At 39.3% G+C, this 20,984-nt stretch overlaps 2 long non-coding RNA genes across 44 annotated transcripts in view; one reads left to right on the top strand and one right to left on the bottom strand.

Annotated features, from left to right (window-relative positions):
• The window catches only part of LOC101927060 (uncharacterized), a 117,500-nt gene that overhangs the window by 7,242 nt on the left and 89,274 nt on the right, over positions 1-20,984 (top strand). For all 43 annotated transcript variants that reach the window (XR_007065805.1, XR_243711.6, XR_007065812.1 and 40 more), the window contains exon 2: positions 20,485-20,572. This is a non-coding gene — a long non-coding RNA (uncharacterized LOC101927060). The remainder of the gene's footprint in view (positions 1-20,484; positions 20,573-20,984) is intronic.
• On the bottom strand, positions 16,767-19,931 carry LOC124904015 (uncharacterized). Its single transcript, XR_007065824.1, has 2 exons — positions 19,843-19,931; positions 16,767-17,141 (listed from the first exon to the last, which is right to left on the bottom strand). It is a non-coding gene; the product is annotated as an uncharacterized LOC124904015 (long non-coding RNA).

Here is a 20,984-nt window from a genome sequence, read left to right as displayed (position 1 = left end):
CAGCCCCCCAAGCAGCTAGGACTACAGGTGCATGCCACCACACCTAGCTCATTTTTGTATTTTTTGTAGAGACGAGGTCTTGCCATGTTGCCTAGTCTGGTCTTGAACTTCTGGGCTCAAGCAGTCCACCCACTTCAGTCTACCAAAGTGCCAGGATTGCAGGTGTGAGCCATCACACCTGGCCTTTCCGTTTAGTTAGGATTTCTTTAACTTCTTTTGGCAATTTTTATATATTTCAGAGTATAAGATTGTCACTGCTTTTGTTAAATTTATTTCTGATTATTCTTTTTTTGTTTTGAGACAGAGTCTCATTCTGTCACCCAGGCTACAGTGCAGTGGTGCAATCTCGGCTCACCGCAACCTCTGCTTCCAGGTTCAAGTGATTCCGCTGCCTCAACCTCCTGAGTAGCTGGGATTACAGGCACCCGCCACCACACCTAGCTAATTTTTGTATTTTAGTGGAGACAGGGTTTCACTATGTTGGCTAGGCTAGTCTCAAACTCCGGACCTCAAGTGATCCGCCTGCCTTGGCCTCCCAAAGTGCTGGGATTACAGGTGTGAGCCATCGTGTCCGGCTTTCTATGTGTTTTTTTTTTTTTTTTTTGGATACTATTGTAAGTGGAATTTTTAGAAACTTTTCATGTTCAGAGTGCTTATTGCTTGTGTATAGAAATACGATTACTACTTGTATATTGAGCTTGTATCCTGTAACTGTGTTGGATGTGTTTATTGGGTCTAATAGTTTATTTGTGGGATTTTCTTTGGATTTTCTATATACAAGATTATATCATCTGCAAATAAAGGTAGTTTTACTTCTTTTTTTTTTAAGCCTGAGTGATTTTTATTTCTTTTTCTTGCCTATTTGCCCTGGCCGGAACCTTCAGTGCAGTGTTAAACAGAGTGGTAAGAGTGGATATCCTTGTTTTGTTCTTGACCTGAGAGAGAAAGCATTCAGGCTTTCTCCATTAAGTATGATTTTAGCTATGGGGTTTTTGTAGGTATTCTTTTTTTTCTCCTATAGGTATTCTTTATTAGGTTGAAGATGTTTTCTTCAGTTCCTACTTTGTTGAGTGTTTTTATCATGAAAGCAAGTTGGATTTTGTTAAGTGCTTTTTCTGCATCTATTCAAATGATCATGTGGTTTGTATCCTTTATTAATACCGTGTATTACATTAATTGATTTTCAGAAGTTAAACCAACCTTGAATCCCTGGGATTAAGTCATACTTAGCAATGGTGTATAAGCCTTTTTATATGTTGCTGGATGCATTTTGCTTTGTTGAGGACTTTTACATCTGTATTCATAAGATATATTGGTCTGTAGTTGTCTTGTGATATCTGTGTCTGGTTTTGGCATCGGAGTAATAATGGCTTTATTGAATGAGTTGAGATGTGTTCTTGGCTTCATCTTGGACTAATTTTGGTTGAACTTTGAACATTCATTTAGCAATCAAATTCTAATTGCCTAATTACTGAATGAAGATAATAATTAAAGGTATAACTGTTTTTTTGTTTGTTTGTTTGTTTGAGATGGAGTCTCGCTCTGTTGCCCAGGCTGGAGTGCAGTGGTGTGATCTCAGCTCATTGCAACCTCCGCTTCCCAGGTTCAAATGATTCTTATGCCTCAGCCTCCCAAGTAGCTGGGATTACAGGCACCCGCCACCACACTCAGCTAATTTTTGTTTTTAGTAGAGACTAAAAATACAAAAATTTTATCATGTTGGCCAGGCTGGTCTCGAACTCCTGATCTCAAGTGATCCTCCCAAATCGGCCTCCTCAAGTGCTGGGATTACAGGTGTGAGCCACCACGCCCAGCCTTTTTGTTTATGTTTGTTTGTTTTAGAGATAGGGTCTTCCTATGTTGCCTAGGCTGGAGTACGGTGGCCTATGGTTTCAAGCACTCCTCCTGCCTCAGCTTCCCAAGTAGCTGGGACTAGAGGCACATGGCACACCCAGCTTGGTTGCCTTCTCCCCGCTCCCCCACAAATAGGGTCTTGCTATTTGTCCAGACTAGTCTAGAATGAGCCTCTCCACCTCAGCCTCCCAAGTAGCTAGGATTACAGGCACATGCCACCACACTTGGCAGTCAACTGTTTAAAAAACATCTATTATTTAACATTCAGGGTAGAGGTTCCAAGTATAGAACTTTAGATCCTTACTGCCTGCTTGGTTCCCTGGATTTTTTCTCCTAGTTTTATTTGGGGTACTTACTTTGTTATTTCATTTTGGTTATGCCTAAATAACACCCAATTTTAGCATTCCTGGGATGATTTAGGCAAGCTTCAGAAAAGAGGCCAGAAGAAAATGGAATTGGAAGCATAAAGCCACTAAAATTTTTTCATTGTTCTCTGATCATTTTTTAGCTTTGGATTTTTTGATCATTTAACGTATCAATGAGTAGAAAGGATTTTTCTTGACTACCACATAGCTTATAAAGTGACCGAGTATTCTTTCCTTAGAGATTCTACAGTGTTTAACATTCATTAGGTACTCAGTATGTTTATGAATGAATATATATTAATGGTAGGGCTTTAATAGGGTCTTATTTTACTGAAAATTGAAGACATTCATTCAAATTTAGATTACAAGTATTTGTGTTATGTTATAAACATTTAATGCCTTGGCCTAAATATTAACAAGCATGGTCATATTTTGGCATTGCCATGGTATGTATTCTGGGAAGTGTGAGTAGGATTTGGAACTTGGTGTTCACTGATTCCAAACACCTACTCTTTTCCAATAAACTGTATTTTTAAAGTGAGAAAAAAGATGTTTTTCTATTCAATTTAGTATTAAAATTCTCCTATTCTTCTAGAGATAGCTGGAGGCAAGTTCTCCCTATGGAATATGTGGGGCTGGGGTAGGGATGGGAGGGAGACCATGTCTCAATACATTGTACTTTTCTGATCCTTCACTCTTCTGGGTTTTGTTTTGTTTTGTTTTTGTGACAAGGTCTTGCTATGCTGCCCAGGCTGGAGGCAGTGGCTCAATCTCACTGTGCACAAGGCTCACTGCAGCCTTGACCTCTTAGGCTCAAGCGATCGATCCTCCCTTCTCAGCCTCCTGAGTAGCTGGGACCACAGGCTTGCACCACTATTCCTGGCTAATTTTTGTATTTTTTTGTAGAGACGGGGTTTCACCTGTTGCCTAGGCTGATCTTGACTCCTGAGCTCAAGCAATCTTTTTTTTTTCAGAAGGGGTTTCACTCTTGTCACGCTGACTGGAGTGCAATGGCGTGATCTTGGCTCATTGCAACCTCTGCCTCCCGGGTTCAAGCAATTCTCCTGCCTCAGCCTCCCAAGTAGCTGGGATTACAGGCACCCACCACTACTATCTGCTAATTTTTGTATTTTTAGTAGAGACAGGGTCTCACCATGTTGGTCAGGCTGGTCTAGAACTCCTGACCTCAAGTGATCTGCCCGCCTCAGCCTCCCAAATGCTGGGATTACAGGCGCGAGCCACCGTGCCTGGCCTCAAGTGATCTTTTTGAAAGAGAAATTAATATAACATATAGAATTCGAACATTCTAACCCCAGTTTGACTTTTGAAAGGAAGAAAAGTAGACAGAAAATTGATTCACTCTGGAGGAGCTACTCTGGAATGGCAGTACTTTAAATAACCGAGAACCTTTCACTATTAACTTTGCCATTTCCTTTATTCTTGAAACATACCAGAGTCTTATTCTCTAAAAAAGACAGAGTAGACCGGGTGCGGGTGCTCACGCCTGTAATCCCAGCACTTTGGGAGGCCAAGGTGGGTGGATTATCTGAGGTCAGGAGTTTAAGACTAGCCTGGCTAACATGGTGAACCTAGTCTCTACTAAAAATACAAAAAAATTAGCTTGGCTTGGTGGCAGGCACCTGTAATCCCAGCTACTTGGGAGGCTGAGGCAGGAGAATCGCTTGAACTGGAGAGGCAGAGGTTGCAGAGAGCCGAGATCGCGCCATTGCACTCCAGCCTTGGCGACAAGAGTAAAACTCCGTCTAAAAAAAATTAAAAAGACACAGTAACTAGGCTAGTGTTTTGTTCGAAATCTTCGTGCTCAAATTCCATGTCCAGTCGTACAGCCAGCCAAGAACTGTAAGCCATTTCCATATTTCTTTGTCATGCCATTTTTTCTCCATTAGAATACTTCAGTTAGGTGTTTTTAAAATATAAACATTTGGGAATTAGACATGATAAGGCATCAGCTAAATCTCTGTCATATTGTTTATATTTTTTGCAAATTTACTTGTAAACTACATGTGTGCAGACACCATTAGAAATTGTTTTACAGTTAAATCACGTGGTAGTTCCTATAAAAAGGGAAGGATAATCTAGTTGGAGACCAGTCGTATACATGACATGACTTGGAAATAATAGCACAAACAAATAACAAAATAAGAGGATCCAACTAAGCTTGAAGAATACAAAGTAGTGAATTGTGAGGTACGATGCACAAGGAAAAACTTTCCTGGAGAGACGTGGGTTTCAGTGTTTATAAGATGCTTCTGGGTATTTTCAGGTTGGAAATTTGCATAGGGTATGACAATTACATTTCTTTTATTGTGCTAGGCAGAGTATATAATATGTATATGTTTACCATGTTTGATGAAAAATCTGACTGATGGGTATTGAAAGGAGTTTAAAGTACCTTAAATGATTCTTTAAAGATTGAGTGTATTTTAAAACATATCTCAGTCTTAATCTTAAACATGTAAAACTGTAATGTACAAAAAGAATAATTTATGAGCTGACTTACAGAAAACAAAATATATCAAACTACTAAAGGTAGTTTGTTTGTTTATTTATTTTTGAGACAGAGTCTCACTCTGTCACCCTGGCTAGAGTGCGGTGGCATGATCTTGGCTCACTGCACCCTCCACCTCCTGGGTTCAAGCAATTCTCCTGCCTCAGTCTCCCACATAGCTGGAACTACAGGCCCATGCCAACACACTCGGCTAATTTTTTTGTATTTTTAGTAGAGACGGGGTTTCACCATGTTGGTCAGGCTGGTCTTGAACTCCTGACCTCAAATGATCTACCTGCCTCAGCCTCCCAAAGTGCTGAGATTACAGGCATGAGCCACCACGCCCAGCCTAGAAGTGTCAATTTATCAAGTTCAAAAGTATGGGCTTTGTGTTAAAGGTACAGTCAGCAAAATCCACAATGTAGGATATTCTAGAGGACAGATAGCGCTGTCTCTTCCACAAATTGTGAGGAAGGAAAAGGAGGAAGAGGAGGTGCGTGTTACAAGCTTGAGATGTATTAACCAAATGAATTGTGTGGATATTATTTGATTCTGATTTGGAGAAAACAACTGAGACAGTCCAGGAAATTTAACCAGTAACTGGATATTTTACATTAAGGAATTATTATTTTTTAAATTATGAAATATATCTGTACCTATTTTTAAAGACCTTACATTTTAGAAACACATACTGAAATATTTAGAGGTAATGATGTGATGTTGGGAATTGGCTTAAAAATAATTCATAGGGGTAGGAGATAGATGTTATAGATGAGGGTGGGATTCACCAAAAGTTGATAGTTGAAATTAGTTGTTGGTTATGTGGGAGTTTATTACCTTTTAGCTTGTATTTGTAAATTTTCCTTCAAACAGGGTCTGAGATAAATAAAAGAGCGTGAGGGAAGATGAGGATTGCTTATATTGTTTTATAAGATTAACATGGATTGCCAGGTTCTGTGTGACCTGGCCCTGCCTACCTGTATCCATTGTCAAGTTGAATGAATTCTTTTCATTGTTCACTGTTGGAGCTCTAACAACATAACCATTGTATACATGTCGTTTCTTCTTTGTGACACACCACAGTTCCACCTAGTATCTTCTGCTCCACATCCCCAACCCCTACCAGTTTGCGCATCCAAGTCCTAATTTATGCTTCAGAGGTCTGTTTAAATGTTTGTATCACAAGTCTTTCTAGATCCCCCAGTCTAAATCTGACATAGTTAGGATCTCTTATCTTACATTTTATATGATTATTTGATTATTAACATCTATCTTCCACATTAAATTGTGAACTTGAGCCACAGTTCTTTTTGTATCTTTTTGTATCCCTCATCTAACTCTTGGTAACTAATAGTTGTTTAAATACTTGTTAAATGGAAGGAAGGAGGATAGAGTGAGTTCATGGTGGGCTAAATGCTTGGCTGAAATAAACTACCAAAAATACACAAATTTCATTTCTGTATTAGAGGTAACCTGGTCTAACCAGTAAGATAAAAGTGCTGTGTTCAATTTCAAGGGTCTGTCAGGATGAACTGGCAGTCTAGATATAATTGGTTCTAGGGCTGGGCACGGTGGCTCACACCTGTAACTCAAGCACTTTAAGAGGCTGAGGTGGGCAGATCACTTGAGGTCAGGAGTTCGAGACCAGCCTGGCCAACGTGGCAAAACCCCATCTCTACTAAAAATACAAAAATTGGCCAGGTGTTGTGACAGACCTGTAATTCCAGCTACTCAGGAGGCTGAGGCAGGAGAATCGCTTGAACCCGAGAGGTGGAGGTTGCAGTGAGCCGAGATGCTGCCACTGCATCCAGCCTGAGTGACAGAGCGAGACTCCATCTCAAAAAAAAAAAAAAAAAAAAAAAAAGAATGGGCTCTGGTACATTTGTTCCACATTACTACAGGTATCTATAGGAAGCTGACACAACCTAGGTCATGTGACAGATGAGAATGGGTTAAGACGAAGTGTGTATCCAAGTTTCTTCCTGCGTTTTACTTTACAACTAAAATGTGGGATATTTAACTCTGGACAGTTTGGTTCTCTTCTTTTTTCCTCTTTGTGCTTTATTACCTCCATCGTTTCAAATTTGGGGGTAATGTCACTAATAATGCAATGTCTATTCTACTAGACTACCTTGATTTTTCTGTTTAGAGTGGAACTTTTAAATGACTGTAAAGTTCAAAGCTCAAGAAACTCTCAGAATATGGCTTGTTGCTAACTGAAAACACTTGTTTCCTGAATTTATCTGAGAGGTTTTTCTTTAATCTTATCCTGTTTTTCTTCCTTTTTTGTACCTTTTTGGTATGGAATTTAATCCATGGTTATAATGACTAAATAAATTGTTATTCTTATCTAATACACACATTTTAGGTTGCAGTTAGGATTACATCATTGTATGGCTATCACAACTTTGTGAAGTAGATGTTGTTCTTATTTCCAGAGATCAATTTATATGTTTAGGATCATATAAAGTAAGTAAAAGTGAGAACTTGTCTCCTGATCTTTCCTCTATTTGTTTCACACTGCTTTTGAGCTAGGTAGTGAGTACTTGCGAGTCAAGGAGCAAAATATGAGTTGAAAAGAATTCCCACTCAGGTGATCATTACAGTACATACAGCGCATACTTTTGTATGGACTGGGATAAAGCACACAGTAAAATCAAATGTTCTAAGGCATTCTAGTGTCCTACCCAGACACATAATTAAAACAGTTATTTTACTAATAGCACAGAAACAAGCAACAGGAATGAGTTGACTCATCAATGTCAGAATCCACATGATTTTCTTCATTATTGATAATGACTGTATTAGAAACCAAGTCCTCATTGTATTTAAAGTATCATTCTACAACCTTAGTCCTGTGTTCTTTCCTGAAGTCTGTATAGTATAACATTAAACATGTCCCTAATGTTCAATCAATGTCCCTTGTTGAGCTGTAAATTGTCAGAGTAATAAATTTACCTTTTGAATGTTAAGGAGGAAGTCTTATCTTTACCTCTGATAAGCTGAGTTTGTATGGCTTGTTTTTAAGGAACACAAGAATGTGAAGCTTTTATTCTTGTGATATTATTTTGTGATGCTCTGCTCTGCCACTGGAGTATGAAAGCTAACTTACTCCAAACTTGTTAACTGTACACCTCTCACGTTTAATAACAGCTTAGTTTTCTGCTCATATTGCTGGCATTTTGAACACAAGATACTTTTTGGACACTTGAGTTGAGGTTTTCCATTTTTCATTGGAGATGATCAGAGTTTGAGCCAGCATTATGGAAGAACAATACTGTAACAACTTTCTCCTAGAAATCACTTCCAGTTCTAAACCATCATATCACAGATACACTGGTAAAATGAAACTTGTTCATAAATTGGGAATTGTTAGTATTCCTTAGTGCTGCCTTGCCTTTCTTTAGTTATTTATTAACCATATTATCCAAAACATATTATCAGGAGGCTCACTTTGTATTGTTATTTAGGGAAATACCTGTGTAGGGGATGTAAGACTTTCATTAATATCCAAGAAAAAATGTATTTATCAAAGTTCTTGTGAACTAAAATGTTTTAAGTAATTTTATTTTCCTTTTTTATTTTCAAACAAAGGAAGTGTGTGGTTCCTTAAACATTAGAATACCAGGATGAAAACAGTTTGAGGGGAGTTGATTGAGGAAAAGTAGTATGATTGACTGGTGTTGGGAAGAGCAGCTAAGGAGGCTGTTGGGGTTGTCCAGTGGTGATAGATGGGGACCTGGTGTGGTGGTAGTTTTAGGAATGAAAGGAATCTATAAATCCAAAAGATTTTGCAGGATAGAAAGGTGGTAAGCCTTGAAGAGTAAGGAAAGGTGGGAATAAAATATGAGGGTTAACTAGTTTTGTCTCTTTGTGGGTAGGGGGCATTTTTCTTGTTCAAGAATGATCCCTAGGTTCTTATTGATCTCTTGAGATCATTTCCTGGATTTAGGGTAGAGCTAGACCTGCAGCCAACATTGAAGCAGATAACTGTACTTTAAAAGTATCTTTTTATCTTGAAGAGGTTCCACCAAAATTAGGGAACTGTAAAATGTCTTCTTTCTAAAAGAAGAGACATAATTGATAATACTTTATCACAGTGGTTGATTTGAATGGTTTATGTTTGGTCCATACAAAAGTTAAAATACCATTGCTATCCTTGGTCTTAATTATTATGGTATGATTAAGTTTTAATTTACGTCTTACCCTGTTGCGGTCAGATTTGTTCTTTTTTATTTTTGACATTTTGTATTTTGCCCCTATGGGAGACTGTGTTCAAGTTCACCTATAGTCACAAGTTTTAGTAGTGAGTGTGTGTATCCTGATGGGAAGTGGGGCTGAGGGCTGTGTGACTGCTGCTGCTTTCTGGGAAAACAGTTTTGTGGTGGATTATGAAGTATTTTGATTACGGAATACAGTAGACACCATGTAACCCCAGTCTTAATATTTAAAGAATGTTAATGTTGTCACATTTCTATCTTTTGTTTTTACATGAGAAGTCAAACATTACATTATAAGTAGAGCTAAAATCCAACCTCTCCATCCCCTTTCCAGAGCTAATGAGGAGCTTGATTGTAAATTTGTTGTATATCAGCTCTGTGCATTTTAAAATATATTCATCCCTTATCTGTATTGGTAACAATGCTTATTAATGTTTATCTGTTTATTATTTTTGTTTTCATTCAGCTTTTGCATTCCTCATTTCTGAGATTAGGTCATGTTGATACATACAGTAATTAAATTGCTAGATAGTATTTCGTCAAATTCCTTTACTACTTGTGTGTACTTAATCTTGTTTAGTATTTTTTTATTGTTTCATTCAACAATATGTTCTGAGATTGAGTCATGTTGATACATATAGTTAATTTTATTTTTATTACTATAGAAAGATCTGTTAAATGAATATAGTCTATTTACCAACTTCAACAGAATTATAATATAATTAGTTTTTAGCTGTTAGAGACTCTACTCCAGTGAACCTGTTTCCTCATTCAGAGGAATGTATAGTTTATGTTCTCAGAAACAGAATTTCATGGCTGGGCATAGTGGCTCATGTCTTTGGGAGGCCAAAGGTCAGGAGTTTGAGGGCAACCTGGACACCGCAGCAAGACCCCATCTCTACAAAATTTTTTATTAAAAATTAACCAGGGCCGGGTGCAGTGGCTCATGCCTGCACTTTGGGAGGCTGAGGTGGGCGGATCACCTGAGGTCAGGAGTTTGAGACCAGCCTGACCAACATGGAGAAACCCCGTCTCTACTAAAAATACAAAATTAGCCGCGTGTGGTGGTGCATGCCTGTAATCCCAGCTACTCAGGAGGCTGAGGCAGGAGAATTGCTTGAACCCAGGAGACGGAGGTTGCAAAGAGCCGAGATTGTGCCATTGCACTCCAGCCTGGGCAAGAAGAGCGAAACTCGGTCTCAAAAAAAAAAAAAAAAAAAAATTAGCCAGGTACAGTAGTATGCTCCTGATCCTAGCTGCTTGGGAGACTGAGGTGGGAGGATAGCTTAAGCAAAGGAACGCTAGGTTACAGTGAGCTATGATTGCACCACCATAATCCAGCCTCAATGATAGAGTGTGAGACCCTGCCTCTCAGAAAAGGAGAAACAAACAAAAGAAAAATGAAATAGAATATCATGATGATTGGGTATGCACATTTTACGCCTAGCCAAGTACTTCCAAATTATTGTTCAAAAATGGTGTTGCCAGTTTTAACTGTTACCAGCAATGTATGAATTGTACTTATCCATTTCTCACCACCTGTTGGCTTTATCGGACTACGTGTTTTCCCATCCAGATTTGAAACAGCATCTTAATGTTTTACCTAATATTTACATTTTAACTAAATTTTAATGAGATGACACATTTCTATATATTTATTAATTATTTGCCTTTTATGTGAATTTTCTATTTCTATTAAGATTGTCATTTTTTCTTTTGACCTGTTTCTTTTTTTTTTGAGACAGAGTTTTGCTCTTCTTGCCCAGGCTGGAGTGCAATGGCATGATGTTGGCTCACCACAACCTCCACTTCCTGGGTTCAAGTGATTCTCCTGCCTCAGCCTCCTGTGTAGCTGGGATTACAGGCATGCTCCACCACGACCGACTAATTTTGCATTTTTAGTAGAGACGGGATTTCTCCATGTTGTTCATGTTGGTTTCGAACTCCCAACCTCAGGTGATCTGCCTGCCTCCGCCTCCCAAAGTGCTGGGATTACAGGTTGTGAGCCACTATGCCCGGCCTCTCTTAATCTATTTCTGAGAGTTCTGTTACATATTCTGATGTTTAATCTTCAGTTATATGTATTAGATATCTTCCACCAAAGTACAGTTTGCCTTTTAATTTTATTAGATTTTCTATTGCATGTTGAAAAGTAGGTGATATTTTTGTGTCTTATCTAAGAAATACTTCCTGCTCTAAGTCCCGAAGATGTTCTTTTAAGTTTGGCTGTTCATGTTTAGCAATTTGAAGTGCCAAAATTTTGTAATTATATCATGAAGAAGGGAACTAATTTTACTTTTTCCTTCTAAAGAACTGGCCAGTTTAGTACTATTGAATAGTTTCATTTTTTCCCCACTGATCTGATTAAAAGAAAATTTCCCGGTATCTTTTATGTATCTAGTTCTACGTTTTGAGGCTCTCTACAGTTTTGCAGCAAATCTGGCTATCTGGTAATGTGTATTTGCATCATGCCTTCTTCCAAATTTCTTGCTGTTGGTCCTTTATGTCATGTGAACTTTTGGATCTGTTTCTCAGCTTTCATTAAAAATACTGTAGGCAATTTGACTGGAATTTCTTTGAATTTATAGATGTTCATGAGAATCACCATCCTTAAAAAATGTATCCTACCATTTGTATAGAGCTTCATGCTTTCAGGCATTACTGTTTTCTCTATAAAGATTTTAAATATATCATTAGTTTTGTCGTTGTTATGAATGATACTTAAAAAATGAATATTTTCTACTTTTTTATTAGTTTTCAAATATTCTTTACTGAACACTTTTGCTAAATTCTTTATTAGTTTTAATAGTTCTTATTGTCAGTTGGATTTCCTGTATAGATTATTCTTAATATATGTTTTATTTTAACATGGACAATATTTTTATCTCTAGAGAAATTAATGCAATTTCAGAGAAACCGTGTGCCGCAGGATCAGGATGGTAGAAGGCAGTTCCACTTAATTTGGGAAATACCTATTTGAAAGTTTATATCCATGTGCATCCTGAGGAGTGGGGGGTATCTGTCTCTGTCTGTTTTGGGTTTTTCTTGACACTAGAGTTAGTCTCTGCAAGGGCCTTTAGAAGTTAAATTCCACCCTCCACCCCCAAGTCTGGTATAGATATTACTACTACTCTTGGACTTCACTCAATTTATTTCTTTTTAGGAGACACAGGTCAGAATGGAGATGGGCTGCAGACCGGGCAGCTATTGTCAGCTGCTGGAACTGGCTTCAGGCTCATGTTTCTGACTTGGAATATCAAATTCGTCAGCAAACAGACATTTACAAACAGATATGTGCTAATAAGGGATAGGTGTCTGGTGTTTTTTAGTACAGCTGAAAACTATCATTATTGCTTTTCTCCCATCCCCTCCCACCTCTTTGGTAATCCCCTCCCCATAACCCCCTTTTTAACTATTTCAAGACAAGTGGTTTAATGACCTGATATAGTGGTTTAATTTGTTTAAGAACCTGATGGGATCACACGTGGTGGCTCACTCTGGTAATCCCAGCACTTTGGGAGGCCAAGGCAGGAGGATCATTTGAGCTCAGGAGTTCGAGACCAGCCTGGGCAACATAGTGAGACCTTGTGTTTACAAAAAATACAAAAATTAGCTGAGCATGATGGCACGTGCCTGTAGTCCCAGCTACTGAGGAGGCTGAAGTGGGAGGATCACTTGAGCCCATGAAGTGGAGGTTGCAGTGAGCCAAGATTGTGCCACCACACTCCAGCCTGGGCAACTAAGACCTTGTCTCATTAAAAGGAAAACACTATTAGAATATAATGGTTAATTGAACGTGTATTTAGAACAAAACAGTGTGGGTATCTGAGTTAACAGGAAACAAGAAAAATGCTGTATAATGCAAGCAAGCCATTGATGTAACTGTCATATTTGTTAGATTTATGGAAAAGTGCCTACTATGTCTCAGCAGCGTTCTCCATAGTAGGGTCACAATAGTGAACAAAAATCCTACCTTCATGAAGCTTACATTCTTGCAAAGTATTTTTTATATTAGCTTGGTATGGCTGAGCTCTATCTTTATCTAGACCCATGTCTAGAAAAAGTCTGTGGCTACTAAAAATAAGGGTCAAAATGCCTTTTTGACCTTAGTACTAGTCAAAGCCTTAAGAAAATGGCTTTCCTGTGAACAGTATCCGTTAAATTAGTAGGCCAAAAGTTAACGGTTGATCAACTGATAAAATGAACAGAATGATCAGGGTTTGAAGTGAAAGTTCTGTGGGCTGTCTAATCATTTAAACTTTTATTCCAAAAATTTCACTGGAGACTTCTACCTTCTTTCCAGATTGGAGATACATATATATATATATATATATATATATATATATATATATATATATATATATATATATATTTTCCAAACATTTGATAGAGCTACTTTAATTGAGGACACAGTTTTTATTATTAATTTATTCCCTTAGGGTAGTGTAAAAATTAAATCCTGATTTACTTATTTAAAAATTAGCTAAATCCTGATTTACTTATTTAAAAATTAGCTAGAACAAAACTAATAAACATTCTAGATTTGGTCAATATTTTGCTTTCTCAACTCTTCACAAAGGAAATTTTAAAGTGAGATTTGTAGAACTTGAACTGGATTGGTGACTAAGAATAACTAGGAGGTGACTGGATATGCCTGTACTGAGGAGAAAAACACAGTCTTTCTCTATCAGAGACACCTCTTCGGTGTCTGTTTCTAGGTTTTTATAGCCAGTAGTTAAGTGGGAATTTCTATATTTGAGAACTAGAGTCTCTTAGTAACAACTGAGATTAGTACAATAGTAGTCATAAGTGTTGCTTCATCTTTTTATATACATTCATAAATATATATATGTAAGTTTATATATGTGTATATGTTATGTTATTTTAGTTGCCTGTTATAAAACTGCCACACTTCATAGAACTTAAGATGCTATTGATTGTAAGATGTACCATTATTTTAAGTACAACAAAGAAATTATTTCCATTAAACTAGGGCATAACAGCAATTGTAAGATGCATCTTGTTTTAAAAGTTGTTGACGTGGGGAAAGTACCTCTTAGAACTGAAGAAATACTGTGTATCAATTCTCAGGAAACTTTGAAATTACACAGAAGTATAAAAGACACACCCTCCCCCCGCCCCCCCAAAACAAAACAAAACAAAACCAACAGCTCAAAATTATCTCGCTACCCACATTATGGTACATTTTCCTAGCACATGAATAATTTGTTTAAACACAGTCATGTTATATATGTGCCCTGAATATTTCCCAGTTGGTTTTTGGAAAACATTTTTAATGGCTGCCTGCTATTGGCTTTCCTCGTTGACTATTTAAGTTACGTTTATTATTAAAATTAAGTATGCCATGATAAACATCTTTATCTTAGTCAAAGGTATGAATGCTCTTTTATGTTCTTAATGCATACTTTAGAGAAGTATTTTGGTCGTGTCAGTTTATAGTCTCACTAGCTGTGTATAAGAAGATACCTCATTTGGTTCATGCTTTATTCTTCAGCTCATCACTCAGAAGTAATGACAGAGCAGTTTTCAGAAACTTTCAAAATATCTGAAAAGTATTTCTAAATATCTGGAAAATAATCTGGAGTTTTGTGTATACCGTCACACATTGCTTAACGAAAGGGAAACCGATAAATGTGTTGTTAGGTGATTTCATTGGTGTGTGAATGTCATAGAGTGTACTTAAATACAAGCTGAGGGTTGGGCGTGGTGGCACACGCCTATAATCTCAGCACTTTGGGAGGCCGAGGCATGGGAGGGCAAGGTGGGTGAATCACCTGAGGCCAGGAGTTCGAGACTAGCCTGGCCAACATGGTGAAACCCCATCTCTACTAAAAATACAAAAAAAAATTAGCCAGGTGTGGTGGCGAGTGCCTATAACCCCACCTACTTGGTAGGCTGAGACAGGAGAATCACTTGAACCCGGGAGATGGAGGCTGCAGTCAGCCAAGATCGTGACACTGTACTCCAGCCTGGGCAAGGGCAGAGCGAGACTGTCTCAAATACATACATATTTACATACATATAAGCTGAGGTGGTATGGCCTACTATACACTTAGAGAACATGGTATAGCCTATTGCTCCTAGGCTATAAACAAGTACATCATGCTACTATACTGAATGGTATAGGCAACTAGTGGTAAAGATTTATGTATTTAAACATATCTAAACATAGAAAAAATACAGTAAAAATATAGTAGAAAAGATAAAAATGGTACACCTGTATAGGGCACTTACCATGAATGGAGCTTGCAGGACTGGAAGTTGCTCTGGGTGAGTCAGCGGGTGAAGGGTGGCTGAATGTGAAAGGCCTAGGACATGACTGTACACTACTATAAACTTCATAAACACTGAACACCGAGGCTACACTACATTTATTTTAAAGATTTTTTCAATAATAAATTAGCCTTAGCTTACTGTAACTTTTTGCTTTATTAACTTTTAAAATTTTAAAACTTTTTGACTCTTTTGTAATAACACTTAGCCTAAAACACAACCACATTGTAATTGTACAAAAATATTTTCTTCACACCTTATCCTACAAGCTTTTTTCTACCTAAACTGTTTTGCTAAAAACTAAGACACAAACACACACATGAACGTAGGCCCACACAGTGTCAGATTTGTCGGAATTACTGTCCTCCACCTTCACATCTTGTTCCACTCTTAGGTCTTCAGGGGCAACAACACACACGGAGCTTTCATCGCCTGTGACAGTGCCAACAGAAGGACCTGTTGGAGGCTGTTTCACAGTTCACTGGGTTTTTTTTGTTTTGTTTTGTTTGAGATGGAGTCTCACTGTGTTGCCCAGGCTGGAGTGCAGTGGCATGATCTTGGCTCACTACAAGCTCCGCCTCCCGGGTTCACGCCATTCTCCTGCCTCAGCCTCCTGAGTAGCTGGGACTACAGGTGCCCACCACCACACCCAGCTAATTGTTTTTGTATTTTTTTAGTAGAGAGAGGGTTTCACCATGTTAGCCAGGATGGTCTCAATCTCCTGACCTCGTGATCCACCCGCCTAGGCCTCCGAAAGTGCTGGGATTACAGGCGTGAGCCACCACGCCCGGCCCGACAGTTAACTGTTTTTTAATTGAGTAGAAGTACACTCTAAAATAACGATTAAAAGTACAGTACAGTAAATACATAACACTTCTTCTTATCATAAAAAATAAGTTTTTTTTTTTTTAACAGTTAACAGTTCTTGGCCAGGCACAATGGCTCACGCCTGTAATCCCAGCATTTTGGGAGGCCGAGGCGGGCGGATCATGAGGTCAGGAGATCGAGACCATCCTGGCTAACACTGTGAAACCCCGTCTCTACTAAAAATATAAATATTAGCTGGGTGTGGTGGCAGGCACCTGTAGTCCCAGCTACTCGGGAGGCTGAGGCAGGAGAATGGTGTGAACCCAGGAGGTGGAGCTTGCAGTGAGCCGAGATTGCGCCACTGCACTCCAGCCTGGGCAACAGAGTGAGACTCCGTCTCAAAAAAAAAAAAAAAAAGTAACATAGTTCTTATTATCAACTATTATATTCTTACTGGACATAATTGTATGTGGTATACTTCTATATGAATAGGAGCACTGTAGGTTTCTTTACACCAGCATCACCACAAACACATGAGTAGTGCTTTGTGCTAAGATAGGAATTCTTCAGCTGTATTACAATCTTATAAGACCATCATTGTTTATGTGGTCTGTCATTGACCATAATGTTATTTGGCACATGAATGTATGCTGATTGTCCAAGAGTTTCATCATTCAAAGCGAATTGTATTAAGCACCATACTTGGACTTGGTAAAGTTTTGCTTCTAGTCATGGCTTTACTACCAGATGCTTACATGTCACAGCTATTTAACATGAACCTTGACAAGAAAAGTCACTCAACATTTCTGAGCTTCAGTTTCTTGGTCTGTAAAATACAACATCATAGATAATCTTTTACTTAAAGAAGATGGCTTAAAAAATCAGAAATGTGTTCTCCCACCATTCTGGAGGCCAGAAGTCTGAAATAATGGTGTTAACAGGGCCATGCTCTCTCTGGAGGCTCTAGGGAAGAATCCTTCCTTGTCTTTTTCCAGCTTCTGGTGTTGTGCCAGTCCTTGGTGTTCCTTGGCTTGTAGCTACATCACTCCAGTTGCTGCCTCCATCTTCATATGACCATCTTTCTCTTTGCATCTGTGTCCAGATTTCCATGTTAGAAGAACATCAGTCATATTGAATTTAGGGCCCACACTAAAAGGCTCATCATAACTTTATTACAATTGCAAAGACCCTGTTTCCAAACAAGGTCATATTCACAGGTTCTGAGCGAACATAAATTTGGAAGAGAATATTCAACTCGCTCTAACAAGCCATGGAATTTCCCCCCAATGATATAGTCACATGCATTTAGTCTTTATGTAACACTATAATTAATAGAAGTTTTTGAGCACTTGTGATATGCCAGGCACTGTGCTAAGCATTTTACTCTCATTCACGATTTTCAAGATAAACAATGGAAGATCAGAGCAGTCAAGTAGTTTGTTCACGGTTATACATCCAAGTGAGTGCAGAGCTGAGATTTGAGTATCAGGGTGCAGAGCTATTGCTCAAGTTAGTAATCACTTTAAGTGCTTGTTGTTTTTTTGTTTTGTTTTTTAGTTACTGAAATGGAAGAAATTTTTTCTTATGTGTTTTGGTTAAGTGGGTTGGTGTTCATGTTTTCCCTGCTGCACCAAGATTTGCCAGTGCTTCCTGGGTTGTACAGGCCTTTTTTTTTTTAGATGAATCTAGATGATGGGCTGAATCTTGGTGATAGGCTGTTGAGTTATAATTTGTCTTTGGGTGGGAGATTGCAGGGATGGTGGGGCTTTTCTTTTTCTTTTTAAGGATTTACTTTGTTGCATGTTAACATTAATTTTCTTTAAGTGGCGTATTACCAAAAAAAAAAAAAAAAAGGTATTTGTGACTACTGCTAGGTGATTCTAGGATCCAGACGCCAGTTTCTGTTCTGTCAGAGGTAGGTATTACCTTCCAAGCTGTGAAGTGAATAGAGTCCCTTTTGGGAATAACGATTCTTGTTGCTCCCTGGAGAAAGAATACAATTTCTAGGAAGTCCTCTGTGCTACTTCTGCATGCGGTTGTGTTCTTTTAATTTTCATATTTTGTCAGCTTATTTAAAAAAAAAATCTCTTCCATGCTTTAGAAGGAGAAAGGAAAACAATGTATGTACCTTGAGTGTATACTAATTAAAGGTTTACTTATGTATGTTTGTTTAATGTTCAGAGTAAATCTTCAGAGGCTTGTAAAAGGCAGAACTAAATTTAAACTCAGGACCTTTTATCTGATTCCAAAGCATTTTTTTTCTAACATACTTTGCTGTTGTGTCCTTTTCATCATTTCACTGAAACATATTTATTTATTGAAAATTTTGTTTATTGAAATTTCACACCTGCTAAATAAGGGGAAAGAATAGGGACTAAGCAGGTTGTAAGAGACAGGGTCTTGCTCTGTTGCCCAGGCTGAGGTGCAATGGCCAGATCATAGTTCCTTGTAACCTGAAACTCCTGGGCTCAAGCTATCCTCCTACCTTAGCCTTGCAAGTACAAGCAGCTGGGACCACAGGCGAGTGCCATTATGCCTGGCTAATTTTTAAAGGTTTTTTTTGTAAAGATGTGGTCTCATTATGTTGCCCAGGCTGGTCTCAAACTCCTGGCCTCAAGTGATCCTCCTTGCCTTGGCCTCCCAGAAGCACTGGCTTGACCCTTAGGTTGTTTTTAAAAATCCCTTCTCCTGACTACTTTCTGAGATTACACAGCTGTAGTTGAGGATGGAAATGTTATTGAGGATGGGAGGTGGAAGAGCATTGAAACTTTTGAATACGGAAGGAGCTGAATGGGAACTGCAGAAGCTTAGGACACCTTTCTCTCCAAAATTTTTTTAAAGGTGTTGAGGTTCTCATCTTAATAGGGTTTTTAAAGCATTGTAGACAGCTATCTTGTTCAGGAAGCCCAGAGTAATTCTTGTGGAACTGGTCTGCAGTGGGGTCACTGGTTTATTTTGAGGTGCATAGGGAAGATTGACCTGATAGAGTGATGTAAGGAAGTATGTGAAATTGCCTGTTAGCTGTATTGCAAATACAGTTAAGAGAGGGTTCATCCACAGAGGAATCACTTAGGAGGTATTAAGGTTGCATGTAACTGTGACCCATTCCAGTTCCTTTGGTCCTTGTGTAAAGCAGAAGCTTGCTTCACCCTTGGAGTTTTCTAGGCCTGTGCAGCCTAAGCATGATCCTGGCTCTGACTCGGGACATGGCGAAGGAAAAGGAGACTCTTGATCTTTTTCTTCGGCTTCTACCGGTTGCTATTTCATAGTACAGCAGCCCTAAGTTTATTGGCACCAGGCTAATGCCACAGCTATTCAACACTGACCCAGTTTAAACCTGGAATGTTAGGGAAGCCCATGTTGGGGTAGCCATGACAGGTGTGGAGTAGAACATTATGAAGTTTTCTCAGCTAATGCTAACCTTTCTTTTCATGGTTATTAAACATGAGTAAACTTTATCCGAAATAAATGTTATTGTGGCATATGAAACATTGTATACAGAAAAGGGCAAAGTCATTAAGTGTATAGTTAATGAATAAGTATAGCTCAAAATACATTAAATATATTTTGGGGAATGTTAAGTAATTATGTAGACCTCCTCTGTAAAGCCTCACTTTCATCAGTCTCTTCAGTTAGGCTCTTTTCTGCTCTGACATCACCTTCTCTCAACTTCTGTTATAGCACTGTCATAATACTTTGTCTACTTGTCTGTCCAAGGCCAGATGAACATAAGCTCCTTATGGTAGAATATGTTTTATTTATTTTATTACTTGCTCCTCCCTCACCCACCTACCGGGATGGCAGCCCGGGGGTCCAGTCCATTTTCCACCACTGAGAGCATCTCCACTCACGCAGCTGCTCCCTCAGAGAATCACATGACATCTGAAGAGACAGATGGCAGCCAGATGAATGGGCAGGCAACTTCCCCCCAGCCAGAGTCCATTCCCAGCAAGCAGTAGGAGGTCAGCCCCCCTTAAACCACAACCGAAAGGCCTTTGAGGAACACGAAAGTAAAAATTGAGAGTGGATTTGAAAGAAGGAAGCAAGGAAGGAAAGCCCAGGGGGCTCAGTCCTTGGGAGGCAAGGAGTCCTGGGTGCCAGGGGTGGGTCCACCCCAAGGAGTAGGTGGTAAGGGCGCTTCACATCAAATGCTGCCCAGAAAGCCAGGGCCCTGTAGGATCTAAACCCGTAAGCAGGGAATGACAGGCTGATTCAAATACAGAGCTGTGGGTTCGAGGTGGAGGCTGCAGCTGAAGGTGGCAGGAACCCACTGGGACCAGGAAGCAGGGGTTCACAAGTCACATTCAGGGGCTGAGTCCTGCAGCACCCTCCCCCCACCCCTCATTCCTGTCCCAGTCCAACATCTGTCACCTCAGTAGTTAAAAAGTACGACTGGAATGACTTTGAAAGGGAAACACTTCTGCTTCTCCTTTAGGCTTCGAGGGTCTGGCTTGAGCAGCACAGACAGGGACGTGTCTAACCGGGATGACCATGAGGTCTCATCGCAGTTTGCCACTAACCAGGTAGGCATGCTCAGACCTCTCAGATGGAGAATGTGTAAAATGCCTGTCACGAGGCCTGATATGTACCTGTACCTGATATGTTGTACCTGGTATCTGTCATCCCAGTGGATGTGGCCACCTAAGTGTACAGACCAAGAATGTCATCGCCTAAATGGGTATGCAGGAAGAGTTGAAATCAGTGAGTGGTTAAATCCCTCAGGGCTGCCAGCTTCCTCCTGGGAATGGGTGGGCTGTGGTGGGGTGGGGTGGGGACTTTGGCCTGTGCCTGAGGGGACTGCTGGCTGGCTTGGCCCCACCCCAGCAACTTGGACAGACCTGGGCTAGGGAGGCACATTCACACGTAAACAAATCTGTCCCAAATGCCTGGCTGAGCATCAGGGGAACGCCGGGAAAGGTGATGGCTGTCTCTCAG

This window comes from Homo sapiens, chromosome 17 (assembly GCF_000001405.40).
Source record: "Homo sapiens chromosome 17, GRCh38.p14 Primary Assembly".
In the NCBI taxonomy this organism is placed as follows: domain Eukaryota; kingdom Metazoa; phylum Chordata; class Mammalia; order Primates; family Hominidae; genus Homo; species Homo sapiens.
This window is presented reverse-complemented; position numbering and strand designations above follow the sequence as displayed.